The 24,865-nt window shown below is 43.2% G+C and overlaps 1 annotated feature.

The window, feature by feature from the left end:
* Window positions 7,619-8,818: an enhancer, noted in NCBI's record as "P300/CBP strongly-dependent group 1 enhancer chr14:70207027-70208226 (GRCh37/hg19 assembly coordinates)". NCBI's record gives its function as "activates an origin of replication core promoter dependent on BRD2, BRD4, P300/CBP, MED14 and CDK7 cofactors, with strong dependence on P300/CBP, by STARR-seq in HCT116 cells {active_cell/tissue: HCT116}" and the evidence as "EXISTENCE:reporter gene assay evidence [ECO:0000049][PMID:35650434]".

Genomic DNA, 24,865 nt, shown 5'->3' on the forward strand with positions numbered 1-24,865 from the left:
TGAACCACCATGCCTGGCTTATTTTATTTCATTTTTTGAGATGGAGTCTCACTTTGTTGCCCAGGCTGGAGTGCAGTGGTGTGATCTTGGCTCACTGCAACCTCCACCTCAAGTGATTCTCCTGCCTCAGCCTTCTGAGTAGCTGGGATTACAGGCATGCACCACCATGCCCCACTAATTTTTGTATTTTTAGTAGAGACAGCGTTTCACCATGTTGGCCAGGCTGGTCCTGAACTCCTGACCTTGAGTGATCCAGCTGCCTCAAGCTCCCAAAGTGCTGGGATTACAGGCATAAGCCACAGTGCCCAGCCCTGTTTAATATTTTAGAAATTAACGGCAGCCAAAACAAATAAGAAAGCATACTGGGGTGTGTGGAGAGGGAAGGGGTGTGATGGGGGCGGGACTGGAAGCCCTTGGATCCTACTCGTTCTCCAAGGAAGCAGCTAACAGGTAGCACCTAAAGAGGCACAAACAAACAGATGTAGTGTGTGCAACTCAATTGGCTCCTGCATTAGGGGGAAAAGCAATTCTTGAAGGCATTTTTTGGGAAATTTGAATATGACAATAGGGGAAATTTGAATATGCATATGATATGATGGGATGTTAAAGAATCGTTGTTAATTTTCTTGCGTGTGATAATGGTGTTGTGGTTATGTAGGAGAGTGTCTTTATATTTGGGAGACACACGCTAAAGTGTTGAGGGGTGAAGTGTCATGATAATGCGACTGACTGTTAAACTGTTTAGCCAAACACACACGTGCACGCACACATACATACACAGTCATTAAAGCTAACGTGCCAAATGGGTAACAATTGCTGAATCTAAGTGGAGCGTGTTTATTGTACTGTTCTTTCAGCTCTTCAGGGTGTTGGGAAATGTTCATAGTTGAAAGCTGGATGGAGGCATGCAGCTCTTAGGAGATCCATACATACAGGTCCAGTTGAGAACCGTGTGCTGGGTATTTACAGGGGGTGACACTCCCTGAAGGTTAGAGAGAGGTGGCCTCTGACCCCTTCCTGCGTACAGGTGTGAGAGGCAGAGCACCTCACTGTAGTCTGGATCTGCCCACAATGCCCTGTGGGCACTGGGTAGATAAGAGGGGAGGGCAACAGGTTTCTCTTAGGAAAGGAACTGAAGGGGCCAGTCTGAAAAAGTGATCTCTAGAGTGTGACTTGCACATAGTAGATGCTTAATAAATCTGCCAGTATTGTCTCAACAGATGCTTATGGATTTTATTGACATTAGATGGTAAAACTGGAAACATAAGTGCCTGTTTATTAGTCTCTTCTACTACACCGGTGGATTCCTTTGAGGAGTTGGTCTGACAGTCCCCTGAGAAGAGGCAGTGGCTGGCTGTCAGTGCTGTCTTGGAAACCCCTTTCTCCCTTAGTTGCCTAGAAAAACCTCCATAAGGGGCAGTGCATCTCAACTGACCCCACTCTACCCTGGGATGAGGATGGCCAAAGCAGGTGGCCAGGGGAGCATGAAGGACCAAGAAGTGCTTGGTATACAGTAGGCACTCAGTGGCTATCCCCTGGGTGGTAACCAATCATTTGCTGAGTCCCTATTATGTGCCGGGCATGGTAGTCCTTTGCATCCTCCTCATGAACCTCATTATTCTGGTTTTACGAACATGTGAGAAGAAAGGGAACCAAGGATGGTAGGAAGTTCCTCCTGGAGCTGCAGAAAGAGAAAGAGGCAGAGAGAGGGCAAGGGCACAGGGGAAGGGGCAGCGGTTTGGGGAGCGAGTCAGACCAGCCTTCCTCGCAGCAGAAACGTACAAGAAGGAAAAGGTGTTGAGTCTGCCAAAGAGGAGGGGAAGCAATGACCTCTGTGTGAAGGTGGACAAGCAGAAGATGCAGATGCCTGGGTAAAGTCAACTCCAGCCTCTTTCTAGTCATGAGGTTTTGACCTGAGCTGGGTCTACTTAGGTCAATCCCCATGGCTGACCTAGGACAAAGCAGGCACTAGCCTTGAAGTTGCAAGACCTGGGCTGATCCCCATAGGCCTTGATAGCTGCATGACTTGTGGGTCAGTAGACAATCAGAGTGCACTGTCTGCAGGGAATTCACAAACAGTAACAAAACTGACTAAAAGTCACCCTGCCTTTTAGCAACACCTTGTGCTGGCAATTCTGAACAATGGCAGTGATAAAGGACTTCTCCCTGGAAGAACTCCATTGTCAGGCTAAGTTCTAAGCAATTGCTGCCATTACCACTGAATTTTAATAAAATATAGGTAAGCTTCAGACTAGCTCATTTTTATTAGTTATCTTTTATTTATTTATTTATTTGAGACGGAGTCTTGCTCTGTCTCCCAGGCTGGAGTGTAGTGGCATGCTCTTGGCTCACTGCAATCTCCACCCTCTGGGTTCGAGCAATTCTCGTGTCTCAGCCACTTGAGTAGCTGAGACTACAGGCACATGCCATCATGCCTGGCTAATTTTTGTATTTTTTGTAGAAATGGGGGGTCTCACCATGTTGCCAAGGCTGGTCTCAAACTCCTGGGCTCAAGCAGTCTTCCTGCCTTTGTCTCCCTACTTTGTTTTCCTACTTTGCCTCCCAAAGTGCTGGGATTACAGGTGTGAACCACCAGGCCTGGCTGTTTTCCCCTCTTTTGTAAAAAAACAAAACAAAACAAAAAAATTAATGTAATTAACAAATATTTAACTCATTATTTATTTCTGTATTGTAATATTTATTTTATGTTTTATTTTGAATTTTGCTTGGAAGGTTGTTTTTTCTTTTTAGATGGAGTTTTGCTCTTGTCGCCCAGGCTGGAGTGCAATGGCATGATCTTGGCTCACTGCAACCTCCACTTCCTAGGTTCAAGCAATTCTCCTGCCTCAGCCTCCCAAGTGGCTGGGATTACAGGCATGCACCACCATGCCCAGCTAATTTTGTATTTTTAGTAGAGACGGAGTTTCACCATGTTGGCCAGGCTGGTCTCAAACTCCTGACCTCAGGTGATCTGCCAGTCTTGGCCTCCCAAAGTGCTAGGATTACTGCGCCCAGCCTTGGATGGTTGTTTATACAAAGTTTAATACAAGAAAAACTTCACTGCCTATTTATTTTCTGGTCTTTTTTTTTTTTCTTTTGAGACAGAGTCTTGCTCTGTTGCCCAGGCTGGAATGCAGTTGAACAATTATACCTCACTGCAGTTTCAACCTCCTGGTCTCAAGTGATCCTTCCACCTCAGCCTCCTGAGTAGGTGGGACTACAGGTGCCACCACCATGCCTGGCTAATTTTTTTCTATTTTTTATAGAGACAAGGGGTCTCATGTTGCCCAGACTGGTCTCAAACTACTGGCCTCAAGTGATCTGCCCACCTTGGCCTCCCAAAGTGCTGGAATTACGGGTATGAGCCATTGTGCCTGGCCTTTTCTGGCCATTTTATTATTTGTTTCATTCTATATTCGTCTGTTTCCACACTGCTGATAAAGACATACCTGAGACTAGGCAATTTACAAAAGAAAGAGGTTTAATAGGACTTACAGTTCCACATGGCTGGGGAAGCCTCACAATCATGGTGGAAGGCAAGGAGGAGCAAGTCTCATCTTACATGGATGGCAGCAGGCAAAGAGAGAATAAGGAAGATGTAAAAGCGGAAACGCCTTATATAACCATCAGATCTCGTGAGACTTATTCATTGACATGAGAACAGTATGGGGGAACTGCCCCCATGATTCAATTATCTCCCACCACATTCCTCCCATAACACTTGGGAATTATGGGAGTACAATTCAACATGAGATTTGGGTGGGGACACAGAGCCAAACCATATCATTCCGCCCCTGGCCCCTGCAAATCTCATGTCCTCACATTTCAAAACAAATCATGCCTTCCCAATAGTCCCCCAAAGTCCTAACTCATTTCAGCATTAACTCAAAAGTCCACAGTCCAAAGTCTCATCTGAGACAAGGCAAGTCATTAAAAATAAAGTACGGGTTGAAACCCACGAAAGTGATTTCAAGAGCCACCAATGGGTTGAAACCCCCAGTTTGGAAATCTTTGGGCTAAATGATCCACTGACATTCTGTGGGTGTATAACCAACGGTCCTGAGCTCAGATTCCCAGGGCCAGGCCTGAGGGATGAAGGGGTGGACAGGGAGGAAGCAGGGGTGATGTCCTGGTCGGCCCCTACAGCCAGCAGGTTGGAAGGCAGATCTCCAGATGCTTTTAAACAAGCCCAAAATACAGTGTCTTAGGTGAAATAGCTCCCAATTTTTAACAGTTAGCAGGTATTAACTCTGGTTTTAAATCCAATATAATAAGTTTGTCATTTTGATTTTTGAATACTGTGCAAGTAAGCAAGTGACGGGCAGGGGAGGGGGGTGGCGGGGAAGAGAGAGAGAGAGAGAGAGAGAAACCTATATGGCCAGAGGTTTAGTTCTCTATGTAAATTATCAATCCTCTTTTTCTTCATCTTTGCCAGCCTGTCCTATATCAAATCAGTTCAGCCGAATCACAGCCAGAAAGACCCCTGTGCCTAGAACAGGGCGCATGTTTGCTTAATTCACCTCCAGACCCACTCCTCAGCCCAGTCTTGTTTGCAAGCACCCCTCCCTCACTCAGCATGTCTGGGTTAGCTTTGCAACCACAGAGTCACTGGAGGCAAAGAGTGCCTTAGGTAGCAGGAGGTGAAAAGTGTTCCCTGGGAATGTCTTTTCCACCTGATCCCCATTCCCGAGCATCCTTGGGTCACCCATGGCCTGCCTCCAGTGGGTGCAGAGGGTAGCTCCTTCCAGAGGGCCCAGGTGCTAATGACAGGTCATGGCATCTGAAGCCTGGGCTGGCTCAGGAGGCAGAAGAAAGTGAGCAACTGTGGCTCCTGCCAGGAAGAGACCTGGGCAGCTACACAGAATAACTAGTTTCACCTCTGCATCCTCTCTTTGCCCTGCCCTGCTGATTGTACAATCGTTTTTCTAGAGTGAGAAACACCAGCTCCATACCTTGTGATTGGTTTTCTCCTCCAAGTGACAGCTTGGGGAAGAATACTGCCACTCAACTACTGAATTTGAGGATTCCTTAATCTCCCTGACCCTGGGGTGTGGTCTCAGAAAACAAAAGAGGCAATGTAAAAGCAAACTATATCCTATTAAAAAATTATGGTGGGCGCGGTGGCTCACACCTGTAATCCCAGCACTTTGGGAAGCCAAATCGGGCGGATCACAAGGTCAGGAGATCGAGACCATCCTGGCTAACAAGGTGAAACCCCGTCTCTACTAAAAAATACAAAAACTTAGCCAGCTGTGGTGGTCGGCACCTGTAGTCCCAGCTACTCGGGAGGCTGAGGCAGGAGAATGGTGTGAACCCAGGAGGCAGAGCTTGCAGTGAGCTGAGATCGCGCCACTGCACTCCAGCCTGGGCGACAGAGCGAGACTCTGTCTCAAAAAAAAAAAAAGAAATTATTATGGGACATTTCAAACAGGCACAACAGAGAATACTTCAATGAGCCTTCATGTACCCATTGCTCTGCTTCAACAGTTATCAATATTCTATTAATTTTGTGCCATTTTAAAAAAATGAGCCTTTGAAGTCATGTTTACTGCCAGGGAAAGATCTTCTTGGTTTATGGAAAAAGACAGTTTATAAAATATTAATAGTTATTGTAGTGTGATTTCAGTCATGTTAAAATGCACTTTTAGACATTTGGAACAGCAGATTACCACAAGGTAAATGTGTCTGATGGACTACTGCTGAGCACTTAGTATCTGTGGCTTGTTCTGGTGGCTTATTTTTTTAATTTTTTAAATTTTATTTATTTTTGATTGATTTATTTTTTTTTGAAATGGAGTCTCGCTCTGTCACCCAGGCTGGAGTGCAGTGGTGCTATCTTGGCTCACTGCAAGCTCCGCCTCCTGGGTTCACACCATTCTCCTGCCTCAGCCTCCCCAGTAGCTGGGACTACAGAAGCCTGCCACAATGCCCAGCTAATTTGTTGTATTTTTAGTAGAGATAGGGTTTCACCGTGTTAGCCAGGATGGTCTCGATCTCCTGACTTCACGATCTGCCCGCCTCGGCCTCCCAAAGTGCTGGGATTACAGGTGTGAGCCTCTGGCGGCTTATTTTTTAAAAAAGAATGTGTCCTGTTTAGAGGGACAGGGTGAGGCAGTCTCTTATCCTGGCAGAGAGATGCACAGCTGTTTGTCACCTGCTTCAAAACACTCTGCCACGCACCATTCACCCACTCAGCATTATGTTTCTGGTGTTGAAGAAAACAGCACTGTGACAGAAAGCGACTGGGGCTTCAGTAACACTGCAAACTGAATTCATAAATGCTAGGTGCCACTGAAAGTCATGGTGTCCAAATATATTTGACTAAGGTGTCTGCTGGATATTCTTACTAAATTTTTTTTTGAGACCGAGTCTCGCTCTGTCACCCAAGCTGGAGTGCAGTGGTGCGATCTTGGCTCACTGCAACCTCCGCCTCCCGGGTTCAAGCGATTCTCCTGTCTCGCCCTCCTGAGTAGCTGGAACTACAGGTGTGTGCCACCACACCCAGCTGATTTTTTTTTTTACTTTTAGGAGAGAAGGGGTTTTGCCACGTTAGCCAGGATGGTCTTGATCTCCTGACCTCGTGATCCGCCCACCTTGGCCTCCCAAAGTGCTGGGATTACAGGTGTGAGCCACTGCACCTGGCTATTCTTGCTAAATTAAAAAAAAAGTTATAATGCTGTCAACTGGATGATCCTAATTTTGATTCTGATAAAATATTAGCATAGGAAGAAGGCTTGGATGGATGCCAAAAAGTTAGCAGTAATGTTATGTGGGCTGGGCTTCTGTGATAGCTTGGATTCTTCTTGCTTATTTTTATAGTCTACTTTTTTTTCCTATGTGGTGCATATAGAAAAATGAAAGCAACTTAAACATTCAAAATAAATAAAGGTTTATTTTATGAATCTCAGTGCCATTGCATATGAAAGCAAGAAGTGCAACTGGGTGCTCTACCTAAGGTCCTGAGCTGGAAGAACCTGTCTGAGGAAGAACCTGTCTGATGAAAAACCCATCTTTGTCAGACAGGTTTGAGAGAGGACACTGGAAATGGCTTTGTTTCCTCAGGTATCAAAGAGGGTGGAGATGGGGTTACAGGTGTGGGCATTGCACAGGCAAAACAAAACACCCAACAGAACCTAGGGAGTCCTTTGTGCATGGGCACACACAAGAGAGTGGCACTTTAGGCAAATGGCCCTAATCTAGTGCAGCAGGGTTGAAATGAGTGCTTGGCTCCTCGTAAAATAAGGTTCCATTTCCCAAGGAGACTTTAAGCAGCTTGTACATGGAGTGAACCCAGAAAATCTGCACGAGTCTCAGTTAATTTAGAAAATTTATTTTGCCAAGGTTGAGGACGGGCCCGTGACACAGCCTCAGGAAGTCCTGATGACATGTGTCCAAGGTGGTCGGGGCACAGGCATGTGTTTATACATTTTACGGAGACATGAGACATCAATCAATATATGTAAGTAGTACATTAGTTCCGTCCAGAAAGGCGGGGACAACTCAAAGCAACCCTCGCCCCACCCCGTCCCTCGCACCCCCAGGTTTCCAGGTCACAGATCTATGGGAGATTCTTTTGAGTTTCTGATCAGTCTTTTCAAAGGAGGCAATCAGAATATGCGTCTATCTCTGTGAGCAGAGGGATGACTTTGAATAGAATGGGCGACAGGTTTGCCCTGAGTGGTTCCCAGCTTGAGGGGGCCAAGATATTTTCCTTTCACATTTCCCCCCTTTTCTTTTTAAAAATCTTTTGGAGAAAGCATTTTAGAAGAAAGTGAATCTCTGGTCTCAGGTTTCATCTGATCTCTCATGGCAAGGACAGTTTATTCCTAGACGGGTAGGCCTCAAAAGCCCATTTTTAGCAGGTTGTGAAGTCTCATGTCCTATAAAGAGAAAATGCGGGGAGGAAGGGAGAAAAACAACAACAAACAAAAGAACAATCCTGGAAAAATTGAGATAGGCCACATTACTCTAAAGTTCATACATTAGTAGGCAGGTATGAAAGTGGCTTATGTATGTAAATAGGTTACTGTTATTTTCTTCTGAGGTTTGAGTTGTTTAGCTTCAGTTCACAGGGCTTTAAGAAAGCACAGCTGAGTTTTCAGTGACTCCAAATTGGGCAAAATGGAAAAAAAAGAAAAAACCTGAAAATATTATTTTGAAGACTTGTAGCCAAGAAAAATTAGAATTTGGTTCAAACTGTAGAAAATAATAAAAATTGAAAAAACATTAGGCAAGACTAGAATCTAACAACAGGTGTACTATAGTTTTGAAAAAATTTTTCTCCAGTTTCCCATTTTTACTAAAGATAAATCATGCTAGAACTGGTTTGCTTTATTACACTTGGCCTAATTATTTGCCTACAGTGCAGCGAGAATAATTATTTTTTACACAGGCTTTTAAATTGGCTTTGGTGGAACTTCCTCCATAAGAGGAATCTCAGGTAAGACTTTTTAAAGCCAAGCCCAGCCATAGATATGTGTCATCAAATACCTGTGAGTTGAGTGAATTTCCTCTCCTGTTGACATTCCAAGATAAACCTGGGGCTTCTGTGCCTGTCAGAAAGTGACATACTTTATTTACCACAGGTCACAAACCCTGTACATGGACTGTGTACACAAAATATGAGGGCAGTTTCCCAAAGGCTTTATTGACTGTATAAGTCAAGTTTGATTCCTTAAAGGAAAGCACACCATTCCAGTCAAAGCCTTGGTATAATAACTAGTTTCTCCAATTGTGTCCTGTTACAAATGAGAACAGATTCTTATTACACTTATGCAAATAACCATATTACCATAAGTTAAAAATACTCACAAATAGTTTCCAAATTCTGGAGAAATTATGTAGAGAGAAACAAATATGCTCCAAATTTTGTTCATAGAATTATACTGAACTGTTAAAAGCTGTCAATAGCTCAAAAGAAAAGTTTTAAGGCTCTGAAAAACAAAACAAAGGATCAGCAAACATTTTAAGCAAAAAGTCAATAAGATTAGTTCAGTCCAGGCAGTTAATTCCTGTTCTGCTTGATACTCATGAACGTTTTAGCTCTCCATGAGTCCTGAAAGTTTTTCTTCTATTCTAATGTCACAATCTCCAAAGTTATCAGAAACCTCCATTCAAGAGCACCTATTATAGTTTTATAGCTGATTATAAGACCACCTTCTAAAGAGAACAAAACAAGACAATTGTCCATGGATGGACAAAGTCTTAGGGCAACCATAGTCAAAGACATAATTGATGAAGAAATTTGTTACTTCTGTGGCACACTGTAATTTTAACATAACAATTATGATTATTACTGATAATGTACACTAAATTATATCCTAATTATAGTTTTCCCTAATTTTGGAACACATACCAATAACATATTTATACAAAAATAGCTCAAAGAAAACCCAACACCATTTCATATTTGACAATGCTTCCTGTATAATTTTTGTATCAAATAAGCCAAATTATGGTTTTTTTTGGACTTTAGGGAACCTAAATATCTTAAAGGACTAATTAGGTCAGAAAAAAGACATAATTTATAATCCAATTTTGGAAAGTTTGTCAAATATCAAAGGTTTTAAACACTTGATATCACAAAATAGGATCACAGGTCATTGTAAAATAAGTCATTCATTTAACCAAAGTGATAACTCAAGGATTAAAAAAAAAAAAAAGGAGAAAACCTTTATTCTTTGAGACAGACAACTAAATTTTCCAAACAATAAGCCCTAATAAAAACAGCATGGGCCAGGCGTGGTGGCTCACACCTGTAATCCCAGCACTTTGGGAGGCCGAGGCGGGAGGATCACAAGGTCAAGAGATAGAGACCATCCTGGCCAACATGGTGAAACCCGGTCTCTACTACTAAAAAAAAATACAAAAATTACCTGAGTGTGGTGCTGCGCACCTGTAGGCCCAGCTACTCGGGAGGCTGAGGCAGGAGAATCACTTGAACCCAGGAGGTGGAGGTTGCAGTGAGCCGAGATCACGCCACTGCACTCTAGCCTGGCAACAGATCGAGACTCTGTCAAAAAAAACAAACAAACAAACAAAAAAAAAACCAGCATGAAACCAAACTTTTATAAACAATCTATAAAATTTTAATCTTGACCATAAGATATAACTTCCATAAACCTTTTATAGCCTTTATAACCTTTATTAAGGAGTTGGATAATGCTTCAAGAAAACCTTGTTAATCTGACATAGGCCCATATGCTGGTCTTGCATCAGTGTGCCTTTAACATTAATGATTAATTTATAGAGAAACTGAACTTATTTTATCATTCAAAATTGGCGCTTATAATCTTAGGTGCCTACCTCTTCCACAATAGTCCCTGGGCCTTGAGGAGTTGAATAACTTCAATTTCTTGCCCTATGTCTCAGGAATGCAGTTTACTTTGATTGGCATCTTCTATGGGGCCTAAAGATGAGGCTTTAATTGCTGTCAGTGTTTAAGATTTAGCAGGACTTGGTGTCTTTTTTAGACTCAGGAATCAAAGCCCTGTAACTCAATGTCACAAGGACTTTAAAAGCACATACAGGAAGATACATGGATGTAATAACCTTAATTGAGAAGATTTGTTTGTTTGTTTGTTTGTTTTTGAGATGGAATCTCACTCTATTGCCCAGGCCAGAGTGCAGTGGCATGATCTTGGCTCACTGCAACCTCTGCCTCCTGGGCTCAAGCAATTCTCCTGCCTCAGCCTCCCGAGTAGCTGTGATTACAGGCGCACACCACCACGCCCCACTAATTTTTGTATTTTTAGTAGAGATGGGGTTTTCCCAGGTTGGCCAGGCTGGTCACAAACTCCTGACCTCAAATGATCCATCCACCTTGGCCTCCCAAAGTGCTGGGATTAGAGATGTGAACCATGCACCAGCCAAGAAAAATTTTTTTATCTCAGTTTTTTTCCTAAGTGAACCAAAACTTAATAATAAGATGACAACTTGATCATATTAAAGTTTTTGCTTTTCAATATAAATCCTCTTATTGTGACTTACACTGACCATTTGTGACACGCTTGGACTTTCTGGTTTGTGCTGAACATCCCTCCTTCTTAAACAACCATTTTATTTTAGGATTAAATTTACCATACGAGATTCTTTCTCATATAAAATTATTTCGCTTTAAGCTTTCTTACCACAAAAAATACCTCTTTATTTTTATTATTTTTTATTTATTTATTTTTTGAGAAGGAGTCTTGCTCTGTCGCCCAGGCTGGAGTGCAGTGGCGTAATCTTGGCTCACTGCAAGCTCTGCCTCCTGGGTTCATGCCATTCTCCTGCCTCAGCCCCCGAGTAGCTGGGACTACAGGTGCCTGCCACCAGGCTGGCTAATTTTTTGTATTTTTAGTAGAGACGGGGTTTCACTGTGTTAGCCAGGATGGTCTCGATCTCCTGACCTCATGATCTGCCTGCCTCAGCCTCCCAAAGTGCTGGGATTACAGGTGTGAGCCACCGGGCCTGGCCAATACCTCTTTATTTTTATAACTTTCTTTACATCTCTTTATTTTCTGGTTCCTTTTACCTTGTTTCATACATAACCTTTAAGTTAGCTTTGAATTAGAAAAAACTTGTACACCTTTTTAAAAAAAGGATACACTTTTTTTTTTTTAGCAAGAATGTTTTCCTACAATATATATTTATTGGAAAATACCCAAATAATGAAATCTCTGTTACTTAACTTTGTATCCTAAATTCTGACCAGTTTATCTATAAGTATTCATCCCATTACATTTACCTAATTATTTTAATTGTTTACTTAGATTATTTATGAAAACTGTGATATGATTTAAAGTTATGAAACCACCATTGCAAAGTTATAACTGAGACAGTGAAAAAAGATTTGACCTAACTGACTCCATCTTGCTCTTAACCTCCAAGCTGTCCTTGTTCATTCCTGGATATAGGCTGAACTAACTTTAAGAGGAACTTAGTTTATAGTTTAGCTTTGAAACAAAGATGGTAACAGTCCTTTCCCAAAACAAACCTCCTCATTGCCTGTGGACTAGGTTGCCTAGAGCTACAAGATCAGAAGTTATGGAAATCTTACTAAATTTAAGATGCAGATATTTTCATTAAAGCAATATAAATGTCTTATTTATTAAAAATCACACAAGCAAAGACCATTCTGTTTTTGGCTCAGTTTATAGTTTTGCTATAACCCCTGTGCCAAGTTTTGACACCTTCTATTGTTTGGCAGGGATAAGTATGAAATTGCTTGATTAATAAATGCAAACAAAGATGTACGCTGGCAATTCTTTTTGAGACGGATTTTTGCTCTTGTTGCCCAGGCTGCAGTGCAATGGTGCAATCTCAGCTCACTGCAACCTCTGCCTCCTGGGTTCAAGTGATTCTCCTATCTCAGCCTCCTGAGTAGCTGGAATTACAGGCACCTGCCACCATGCCCAGCTAATTTTTGTATTTTTAGTAGAGATAGAGTTTCACCATGCTGGCCAGGCTGGTCTCGAACTTCTGACCTCAGGTGATCCGCATGCCTTGGCCTCCCAAAGTGCAGAGATTACAGGTGTGAGCCACCACACCCAGGCTGTATGCTGGCAATTAAGACATTTCTAATATTACTTTACCAATAATTTTAAAGCTAGCTTATTCATTAAAGATTTTACTTAAGTTACATAAATTTAAAAAAGCATTTGACTAGTCTTTTCTTTTTTAGTAGCACTTTAATTTTTTTAAGCCAATTAATTAGAGCTCTTTTATGTATTATTTTAGTAGTAAAACATTGTGTATATAACACATAAATACACAGACATATTCGACATGCCAATGGAAGCACATTTTACAGATTCATAAAAATGCTTTTGGCTGGGCGTGGTGGCTCACACCTGTAATCCCAGCACTTTGGGAGGCTGAGGCAGGTGGATCACGAGGTCAGGAGTTCAAGACCAGCCTGGCCAACATGGTGACACCACATCTCTACTAAAAACACACACACAAAAAAAATTAGCGGGTGTGGTGGCACGTGCCTGTAATCCCAGCTATTCGGGAGGCTGAGGCAGAGAATTTCTTAAACCTGGGAGGCAGAGGTTGCAGTGAGTCGTGATTGTGCCACTGCACTCCAGCCTGGGCGACAGAGCAGTGGCTGGGGGTGGGGGGGTGCGGGGCGGGGAGGGGTTTCTTTTTTTTTTCCCTATCTTCGACTTTCAGATTCTTGGTAACCTGTTTTACAACCCTGGGCAGTTGTCAGCTAAATAGCCTTAAATTTGCATATTAAGGGAAGTCAAATAGTAAAATTTACATTATAAGGTGCAGAGAGAAAAATTTGGATTATAGAAATTATAAAGGCCTTTTAAATACACACACACACACACACACACACACACACACACACACACACACACACACACACCCTGCAGCTTTTATTTCAGAGCTTTTAGCCATGAGATAAATACAAATTTACTGGCTTGCAAAAAGAACTTGTTGGATCTAAACAATGGTTTTGTCTTAATAGAAAAATAACAGCAGATTTAGAGCAGGCAGAAAAGGACAGAGAAAAAGAGGACTTAGGAACTCTGTAGTTTGCAGGTCAACCTTAGGGCTCTTTTTCCTTAATATAAATGTGCACAAAGATCTTATTATTTTCATTTTACATAAACTTTGGCAAGTAGAGGTGCCATAAAATCTATGGAGTGCTGAAAAGGGGGTCATTCTCCTTGTTTTCTCCTCATTTTTAGATTGTTTCACGCTTCTTTTTATTTCTTAAAAGGAGCACCTGAGCTGTGGTCTAGGGTTTTTGTGTGGTAGATTGACATGTGCTGCTTGTTGGCAGGACTCCAGAGTCTGTCACCACTGAGTCGTTTCCATCCCTTTACGTGTCTCAGTTTCTCTCTCGAGAGGTCTATGACCTTGGAGAGGGCTCAGAATGCTGTGTCATCAGCCCTGATATACATTTCCTGGACAAGCCTTTTTTTTTTTGAGACGGAGTCTCACTCTGTTGCCCAGGCTGGAGTGCAGTGGCGCGATCTTGGCTCACTGCAACCTCCACTTCCCAGGTTCAAGTGATTTTCCTGCCTCAGCCTCCCGAGTAGCTGGGACTACAGGTGCGTGCCACCACACCCAGCTAATTTTTTGTATTTTTAGTCGAGACGGGGTTTCACCGTGTTAGCCAGGATGGTCTCAATCTCCTGACCTCATGATCCCACTCTCCTCGGCCTCCCAGAGTGCTGGGATTACAGGCGTGAGCCACTGCACCCGGCTAACAAGCCATTTTTAAAATTAATTTTTGCTGGGGATCTCCCAGCAGGGCTGCTGCACATAGCAGGGGGTCAGCCCCCTAGAGACTCTCACAAGGCCCCCAGTCACCCAGGAGTGCCTTTCAGCTGGAAGGAGCAAAATGCCCTTTCTCTTTGGAGCTGAGAAAACTCAGTCTCTTATTAACAGATGAAAACAGTTCAGTTCCTCATGCAAATACACACAGACAAACCAAATTAAGATTAAATTTAGGAGAAAACGCAATAAAGAAGACCCTTTAAAATGCATCTCTGAACTAGAATTAGGATAACAACTTTAGATGGGAACAAACAACAACAACAAAAAACCTCAACAATATGATGAGGAGAAATTAAGACCAGCTGGTTGTTAATCTTAACTTTAGCCAAGACAAACCCCAATTCGGTTACTTACCTAAGGAATGGGTCTCAGGCTGAAGACTGCTCTCTACCATCCTAGAAGCAGGGGAAAAGAACAACAACTCATCTTCCCTGTTAGAAGTGAGCTCAAACTCCATAAAGGAGTTACCTGCCTTCCATCATCAAAGAAGCAGAAAAAACTTGCTTTCCTTGTGTTGGAAGCGAATAAAACTCCAAAAAAAAAAAAAAAAAAAAAAAAGAGAGGAGTTGTACAGCAAAATAAACTTATGATCTCGACCACATTTTGAGAGATCAGAGATTCTCTGGAGGGGGTGCTCTCAGACCTCAGCAAATTGTCCTATTGATTTGAGGCATAAAGTTAGCTCATGCTGGTACCAAGCACTGATAGGAGATTTGTCAAAGGTCAGGGGCATCTCTACTCAGAATCCCTACATGGTTACCAACATGTGAACCCAGAAAATCTGAGACAGGTCTCAGGGGCCCAAGATATTTTCCTTTCACAATGGAAAACAAAACAAAGTCCAGGATCAAAGCCCTGACTGAGTCAAAAAAGAATTCTTAGATAAAGAAAGCAATGATTACGACAAAAAGAGAATCTTTTTTTTTTTTTTTTTGAGACGCAGTCTCGCTCTGTCGCCCAGGCTGGAGTGCAGTGGCGCGATCTTGGCTCACCTGCAAGCTCCGCCTCCCGGGTTCACGCCATTCTCCTGCCTCAGCCTCCCCAGTAGCTGGGACTACAGGCGCCCGCCACCAGGCCGGCTAATTTTTTGTATTTTTAGTAGAGACGGGGTTTCACCATGTTAGCCAGGTTGATCTCCTGACCTCTTGATCTGCCCGCCTCAGCCTCCCAAAGTGCTGGGATTACAGGCGTGAGCCACCGCACCCAGCCAAAAAGAGAATCTTTAGCTCTGGGAAGTTTGCTGGGAGTCTTAGGACAGGATCCTCTATGATGCTTTTTTCATTTGTTCGTTTTGAGACAGGGTCTCACCTGTTGCCAGGCTGTAGTGCAGTGGCACAATCCTGGCTCACTGCTGCCTCAATCTCCCAGGCTCAGGTGAGCCTCCCACCTCAGCCTACTGAGTAGCTGGGACTACAGGTGCATGCCACCATGCCTGGCTAATTTTTGTATTTTTTGTAGGGATGGGGTTTCATCATATTGCCCAGGCTGGTCTCAGTCTCCTGGGCTCAAGCAGTCTCCTGGGCTCAAGCATCTCACCCTCCCAAAGCACTGGGATTACAGGTGTGAGCCACCGTGCCTGGCTGTTTTTGTTATTTAACATCAATGACCTAGTGCTGAGAAAACTTGTTCTCTAAAATCATGGACAATGAGAAGTGTTGCTACCAGAAATTTTTTCAATGAACATGGAACATCCCATTTTACACTTCTAGCATATCTCAATTCAGACTAGCCACACTTCAAGTGCTCAAGAGCCACATCTGGCTTGTGGTTCCATATTGGCCAGCAAATATTTAAACATTCTTATTTTTTCTTTTTAAAATGTCTCTGCCCAAACCAGGCAAGGTGGCTCATACCTGTAATCCCAGCAGTTTGAGAGGTCAAGGTGGGAGAATTACTTGAACCCGCGAGTTTGAGACCGGCCTGGGCAACATAGCAAGAACTCATCTCCACAAAAAATAAAAAATTAGCTGGATGTAGTGGTATAGGCCTATAGTCCCAGCGACTTGGGAGGCTGAGGTGGGAGGACCACTTGAATCCAGGAGGTCGAGGCTGCAGTGAGCCATGATTGCACCACTGTACCCCAGCCTGGGTGACAGAGTGAGACTCTCTATCTCAAAAAAAAAGTCTCTGCCAAGAGAGAAATCTTTGAGTTCATTTCTTCTTCTTTTAGAAAGCCTCCTGCCTTGCAGCAAGTTTGAAACAAAACTTTGACATGTATTTGTAATCAGTGTGTCTGAAAAGTTGCTTTAACTGCTGGTGGGGAGTGGGGTGGGTTCCTGGAAATCTGCCTTTTAACAGCTGCTGCAGGTGATTCTTGTGCACACTTCAATTTCTGGATCACTCTTCTAACTAGTCCGTGTCACATTTACATCCAAGTTGGTGGCCAGCTGTGCATGGTGGACTGGGCCATGGCTGCTATTTTTAGGTAGCCTGGCTTCATAACCAGGTTCTACCATGTATAGTTGTGATCTAAACACATTACTTGACTCAGAGTCTTCATCTTTACTATGGGGATAACATCATTCTACTTCACAGTGTTGTGATAAGACCCATTAAACCCCACTGGTGCATACCTATAGTTTATTTATTTATTTATTTATTTATTTTTTGAGATGGAGTCTCGTTCTGTCACCCAGGGTGAAGTACAGTGGTGTGATCTCAGTCTCACTGCAGCCTCCACTTCCTGGGTTCAAGCAATTCTCCTGTCTCAGCCTCCCGAGTAGTTGGGACTACAGGCGTGCCTGGCTAATTTTTGTATTTTTAGTAGAGATATGGTTTCACCACGTTGGCCAGGGTGGTCTTGAACTCCTGACCCCTGGTGATCTGCCCGCCTCGGCCTCCCAAAGTGCTGGGATTACAGGCATGAGCCACTGCACCTGGCCAACAAACCCACAGTTTAAAAAGTTAGGGTGATAAGGAAAGACACATACTATGACCATCCCTGGGCATCTCCTCATAAGGAAGTGGGGAAAGATTTTTATAGGGTTTGGAGCTTATGCTGAATGATTTGGGAATGGAACAAGGGGAAGCAGGAGCAGCTCTGGATTGAGTGTCACAGTGAAGCAAGGACAGTTTGGCAGTTGTGTTTCTCAGGAATATTTGTTCAGGAGGCAGGAGAAACCAGGGTATCACTTGCATCTGTGGTTTGCATTATGTTGCTATTGGACAGTTCTAGTTTAGATAATCATTGCTAGACTAGAGACCAGGGAGAAAAAAAAGAATGTCTGGTTAAAGATTATCAGAGCCCTTCTAGAATTGGTGAAAGGTCATTAGGCTCCTCCCAAGGCCACACGTAGCTGGATGAGGCTCCTAGAAAGGGATCTTAAAACCATTAAAGTCTCTTAAAAATTTGCTCAGTTGTTTTGTTGGGAATGCAAAGTTCTTCCAGGAAGAAACAGCTATTTATACCAACCACAGCGCTCTACTCCAGCTTATGTTTGGGACAGTTTCTTTCAAAGACTTTAGAGAATCTGATTCCATGGGTTTAAGGAAGGCCTGGAAATTGCATTGTTAAGCAGACCTTCCAATGGGTCCAACTCTGGTGGGTCTCTGAGTTTGAGAATCAGTGACTTTGAAAGTGCTTCTATAGGCTTGGTGACCCACTGCAAAGAACGAAAGAGGTGCCCAAGAGAGGGCATGAAATGGCCCTTTAAGAAAAGCCATCTGCTTCACAGAATGTCATCTGATGAGGGAAGTCAGGGAGAGGATTTAATGTGAGGCCAGGTGTCTACACTGTCCCTGGGGCAGGGTAACTCCCGTAACACTCACCCTTTTAAGCCCACTTCCCTGTGTTAGTGTGTTGAGCTCCTTGGCTCAGGCCTGTGCTCTTCCAATCTTATTGTTCACCTACCCTTTAAGTGTCCAAGAGAGAATACAGTCATGGGTTCTTAGTTTCTGTTTCTGGTTGGACCAGTAAAGCCCCTTCCTCATCCCTCTTTTCTGCTTATCACTAGAGACAGAAACTAAAAACCCTGGCTTCAGGCTGCTAAAAGGCTAAAACAAAACAAAACAGTATTGACATTTCAGAATAAAGCTGTTATATCACTCTTTTAAATAAATCCCTTGAGACCTGCATACTGTCACCATTTTTTTCTTTTTTTCAAGAGACAGGGTCTTGCTATGTTGCCCAGGATGGGCTCCAACTTCTGGCCTCAAGTGATCCTCCTGCCTCAGCCTCCCAAAGTGCTGGGATTATAGGCATAAGCTACCATGCTTGGCCCCATCACAATTTGATACTGATGATGATCCATTTTATTATTTTTTAAATTTTATTATTATTATTTTTTATATTTTATAAAATATAAAATATATTTTTATATTTATTATTTTATTATTTTTTATATTTTATTATTTAAAAAAATTGTTTTAGAGACAGAGTCTCGTACTGTCACCTGGGCTAGAGTACAATGGTGTGATCTTGGCTCACTGAAACCTCTGCCTCCCAGGTTCAAGTGATTCTCCTGCTTCAGCCTCCCAAGTAGCTGGGACTACAGGTGCCTGCCACCATGCCTGGCTAATTTTTGTATTTTTAGTAGAGACCGGGTTTCACTATGTTGGCCAGGCTGGTCTCGAACTCCTGACCTCGTGATCTGCCTGCCTCGGCCTTCCAAAGTGCTGGGATTACAGGTGTGAGCCACTGCGCCTGGCAGATTCATTTTAATACATAGAAACCAGTTTCTCTAATATGACAGAAATTTATATCATTCCTTTTCCATTTGAACTCATTGTCATTCTACTTCACCTGCAGACTTTTATCACAATATAATGTTTTTATAGCTGAAAGTGTTTTAAAACTCCCTTTCATATTCTATGCATTAAAATTGTATATCTAAATGTATATAGTGAATTTTAATTTCCTATGAGCAAAACAACATAAACATAATAAAAATTTTGAGAATTATTTCATTTCCAAAGTAATTTTACTAGAAATACATCTCTTAATGAGGTAGATAGAGCTTTTAAAATACAACTGTGGATAAATAATGTTCATTGGGAGAAAGATATTTATACATGAAAGTGCTAAGGAACGTTTATATTAATATAAACAAGTATGTGGGGATGGATAGAGTTTTATTACAGCAATGTCACTCGATTTTTAAAATTCCTTGAATGATAAAAAATTATACTTGATACATTAGCCAGCAACTTGGTTATGTCTGTCTTTTTTTTTTTTTTTTTTTTTTTTTTTAGCTGGGCATGGTGGCAGGCACCTGTAGTCCCAGCTACTCAGGTGGCTGAAGGGGGAGGATCGCTTGAGCCCTGGAGGTTGAGGCTCAGTGAGCCATGATTGTGCCACTGCACTCCAGCCTGGGTGACAGAGCAAGACCTTGTCTCCAAAACAAGCAAAAAGATTGAAAACCATTTGATTTCTGAAAGGATTTGTTATCTTATCATGAGACTCACTGGCTTTCTCAATGCCACCCAATATTTCCAATTGTCCCTTTGTTTGGGGCCTCTGAGGTGCTTCTTTATCATCTGACAAAAAGAAAGGTAACCTCTCAGTCATCTTGAATCTCTGTCTGGAGGGGAAAGGGCTGTTAAAAAGGAGATACCTGGGTCAGGCGCAGTAGCTCATGCCTGTAATCCCAGCACTTTGGGAGGCTGAGACAGGCAGATCACCTGGGACTAGGAGTTCAAGATCACCCTGGCCTTGAATATGATGAAACCCCATCTCTACTAAAAATACAAAAGTTAGCTGGGCATGGTAGTGTGCGCCTGTAATCCCAGCTACTCAGGAATCTGAGGCATGAGAATTACTTGAACCAGGGAGGTGGAAATTGCACCACTGCACTTCAGCCTGGGTGACAGAGTGGGACTCTGTCTCAAAAAAAAAGAGACACCTGGACCACGGGAGAGTTCACCATCAAATCAAATTAGGAAAGAGTTCTTTTCAAAGTGGAGGATCTAGAATAGTAGGTGGGTCCCTTAAAATGGAATTCCAAGTACCCCTTGGAAAGTCATGCTGTGTTCCCCAGGGGTTCACATACCCCAGGCATTCACACACAGGCATGCTGAGCAGAGCAGGTGCCATGGTTAAGAGCTTGATGTAAAGATAACCTTGACCTCCTGGAGAGGAGGTGGAAGCTGCTTTTCATAACCCAGAGCTGCCTTGCCATTCTGCTTTTTCCCTTTAGAGAGAATGTCTCCTTGGCCTTATTTCCTCTTGTGTAGCAAATTCCTTTCTTAAACTTCTCTGGATATGTCCTTAAGTTTTTATTCAGCCTACATCTAGAGTTTTTTTTTTTTTTGAGACCGGGTCTCACTCTGTTACCCAGGCTGGAATGTAGTGGCACGATCACAGCTCACTGCAGCCTCGACCTTGTGAGCTCAAGCGATCCTCCCATCTCCGCCTCCTGAGTAGCTGAGACCACAGGTACAGACCACCATGCCTGACTAATTTTTGAATTTTTTGTAGAGGTGAGGTCTCATTATGTTGCCTGGGCTGGTCTTAAACTCCTGGGCTCAAGTAAACCTCCAACCTTGGCCTCCCGAAGTGCTGGGATTACAGGCATGAGCCACTGTGCTCAGCCCTACCTCCAATATTTATTTGTTTGAAACATAGTAAAAGTTTGAGGCTCTTTGGGATAAAATGCTTGGGTTCGAATGCATACTTGCTGTTGAAATTTGGATCCATCCCTTCCTTCCTTCCTTCCTTCCTTCCTTCCTTCCTTCCTTTCTCTCTTTCCTTCTTTCTTTCCTTCCTTTTTTCTTTCTTTCGGCAGCAATCCTCCCATCCCAGCCCCCCTGTAGCTGGGACTACAGGCACGTGCCACCACGCCTGACTAATTTTTTGTAGAGATGGGGTTTCACCATGTTGCCCAGGCTGATCTCAAACTCCTGAGCTCAAGCAATCTGCCTGCCTCAGCCTCCCAAAGTGCTGGGATTACAGGCGTGAGCCACCACACCCTGCCTGGAAGTTATTTTCTAAGCCTCAGTCTCCTCTTATGAAAGCTTGTTGTGTTTTGGGGAAGTAGGTGGTTTAATGCAAAGTTCTGAGCATGTGTCAGGAACAGTAAGCACTTGATAAATGTGAGTTATTATTATGGGTATGTGGTCTAAATTTGGTCTATCTTTTAAATCTGCCCAGGACAGGAAATGCTTATAAAATGCTTTGAGACTCAAAAGATAAATCACTGTAATCATCATGCTACTCTGCTCCTTATTAGCCCTATTTTACTGGGGAAGGTTGAGTAAGATAGGCATGTGCTGAGTTAGGGCTGTGGGGAGTGTCAGTGCCTCAGAAACTAAGCAGGGCATCCACAGTGTCTGAGCCCCTCAGCCTAAACTCGGTTTCCATTTTAGCCTCTGCTTCCCTGGCCAAGGCGCTCAACTCCACTCTGTTCACTCCTCCATTCCACCCCAGAGTTGACCTTGGCCCATTGGAAGAGCTCTTGGGCTTGAATCCTACACTGTCACTAATAGTTATTGAGCTTGGGAAAGAAACTTCTCAAAATATATTTCCTCTACCGTAAAACAGGATTAGCAGTACCTCTCTTAGGGCTGTTGAGGGGGTCAAATGAAAGAAGCCTATGGAACTCCTTGAACAGTACCTGGGCATGTATCAGCCCTCCAATTATTCCTGAATGTTACAATTACAGTAGGTAACCATTAGGAAATCTTCTTGTGCCTAATCATGCAAGGAAGATAGGCATGACCCAGGCAGATAAGACGGTTTCACATGTCTTTGCCAAAGCAGGGCCTAGTGCTGGAAGATAAAGCGGGTTTGGCCTGCTTTGGTGAAAGGTTGGTGGGTGCTTGGGAATTTAATCTAGGGCAGTCAGGGCCATTTTGAAATGGAGCTGCTTGTTTATTCAACATTTGGGATTTCACCTTTGTTGACAATAATACTGAGAAACATCATCCTCATCTATGAGGTGAGCTCTTTGGCAGCCATGTTTGTACCATGTGACCTCATCTTTGATTGGACCAGAATAGACACCTTACCTAAACGGGGCCAATCAGGTTTTCCTTTCCAGGGAACTTGGAATTGAGACTCACATGCTCATTCTGGGATCTACCTTTTTTTTTTTTTTTTTTTTTGTGAGACAGAGTCTTGCTCTTTGCCCAGGCTGGAGTGCAGTGGTGTGATCTCGGCTCACTGCAACCTCCGCCCCCCGAGGTTCAAGTAATTCTCCCACCTCAGCCTCCCGAGTAGCTGGGATTACAGGCGCCTGCCACCATGCCTGGCTAATTTTTGTATTTTTAGTAGAGACGGGGTTTCACCATGTTGGCCTGGCTGGTCTTGAACTCCTGACCTCAGGTGATCCTCCTGTCTTGGCCTCCCAAAATGTTGGGATTACAGGTGTGAGCCACTGCACCCGGCTGGGATCTACTTTTGAATGGAAGGGATATGAAAACTGGGTGATAGGGTGTGGTCATCTTCTCCCATATGGATTGAGAGGCAAGGAAAGCCAAGCTGCAGGAGGTGAGCAAATGACATAAAAAAACAGAGGAGGGAGGTGGAAATTGTATGTATCTGAGTTCTTGACAGTTCCCACTTCCTGTTTCAGACTCCTCCTCAGGCCTGAGCACATTCTGACCTTTGGATTTCATGAGACACTTCTGAATCCTTAACAATAAATCCATTTTTGATTGCTTACACTGGATCATGTTGTATGTTAAGCTATTTTGCTCTCAAGTTACAGAAGCCAACTTGAGCCATCTTAAGCAGAGAGAGGAAATTAGTGGAAGGTGCTGGGGGCATCTCATGAGATCTGGGAGGTTTAAACAACCCAATTTTAGGAGGTGCTGGTACAAGGGCAGCCCTGGGTACTTCAGCCACAGATGGGAAAGCCACCTTTCTTCTCACCTGCTGTCATTAAGATGCTTCACCTTTGGGCCTCTCAGTTCAAAACTGCAAATTCATAGGGTAGACAGAAACGCATTGTTCTATGATGAGACAATTAGTAATGAGTAGGGGTAGCTTTAGACAGCAGAGACATAGCTGCTTAAGAGAGTTTAACCATGAGAACAGCACATGACATTATCCAAGGACAGGGAGTGGCACTGATCAGCCAGTCCAAGTGACGTCCTGTACAAGCTGGTTTGCACACTTGTTTACAACTTATTATGAGCAGGAAACTGTGCTTCTCACTGAGAAGGGTGCAAAGATCTGTAAAACAGGGTCTCTAACATCAAAGAATTTATAATCTGTCTACAAATAATCACATTCCAAGGAAGTCTGTGATAACTGCTAGAGGAGATGTACAAGCATAAAGTGCTACAGAAATTTAGAGAAAGGCATACATTTGAGCAGTGGTGACTGTGGCCCAGATGTCAGACCAGGTCATGGTTGGCAAATGGCTTCCAGAACAAAACACTAAATATGCACTTAACATGCCTTGTAATAACAACCAAAAGGAGCATTTATTTAAAATTAAATGTAAAATGCAATAAAGCAGGAATGTGTTTTTGATGGACTAATCCATAGCATGTGAGCCACACTGACATATACAAATGTACCAGGTCAAGAGTGGACACAAACCAATTGTGCCAGGGTTCTGTCTGAATTCTAAGGCAAGTTAATCATATTCCTGTGATCCTTAGTCCCAGCCCTGATTATAAGCCTTTGGTCGGCTTATCTCCCTTGAATTCTCACCCCCATAGTATTTGTACGTGTGCTCTTCTGGGCTCATGGCCCTTTTCACGCTGGTCATTAGAAGGCTCCTTCCAAGGCAAACACATTCTTAATCTGTGCACAGAATACTCCCTCCACATCTTGAATTTTTAAAAAACAATTTATTTTTAATTTCTAAAATGTTAAAATATTTTCAGAGACTGGGTCTCGTCATGTTGCCCAGGCTAGTCTTGAAGTCCTGGACTCAAGTGATCCTCCTGCCTCAGCCCCCCAAGTAGCTAGGATTATAGGTATGAGCCATTGTGCCGAGCTCTCCCTTCAAATCTTTGCCTCAACAAAAACCTGGGTGACTTTATCTGTTTTCGTGGTATCAACTGTCACATATATGGGGATTTTTCTCAACTTAAAAAAAAAATGGCTCATATTTGTCTCCTATGCTTTAGACGTATGCATCCTACTGCCTGACGGAATCTTCTCCTAGGATGGCCCAGAAACTTCCAAATCAATGAGCCTGAGTGGACTCGTGGGCATTACCTGTTCATTCTCTATTCTCTGACCCCTCTATTGCACCCATGCTACATACCCATACTCCAGCCTGGAAGTGCAATTTTATTCTTTTTTAAATAAAAAAATTTTTTTCAGATGGGGTCTCACTCTATCACCCAGGCTGGAGTGCCGTGGTGCAATCTTGGTTCACTGCAACCTCTGCCTCCTGGGCTCAAGCGATCTTCCCACCTCAGCCTCCCCAGTAGCTGGGACTACAGGTGTGTGCCACCATGCCAGCCTAATTTTTCTGTAGTTTTTATAGAGATGGGGTTTCACCATGTTGCCCAGGCTGGTCTTGTACTCCTGGGCCCATGCAATCTGCCTGCCTTGGCCTCCCAAAGTGCTGGGATTACAGGCATGAGCCACTGTGCCCAGCTTGAAATTTTATTCTTATCTCTCTTTTATCTATTATGTCAAATTGATCACCAAGTTGTTATACTTGGTCCTCTCAATATTTCTCCAATT

Source organism: Homo sapiens, chromosome 14 (assembly GCF_000001405.40).
Source record: "Homo sapiens chromosome 14, GRCh38.p14 Primary Assembly".
In the NCBI taxonomy this organism is placed as follows: Eukaryota; Metazoa; Chordata; class Mammalia; order Primates; family Hominidae; genus Homo; species Homo sapiens.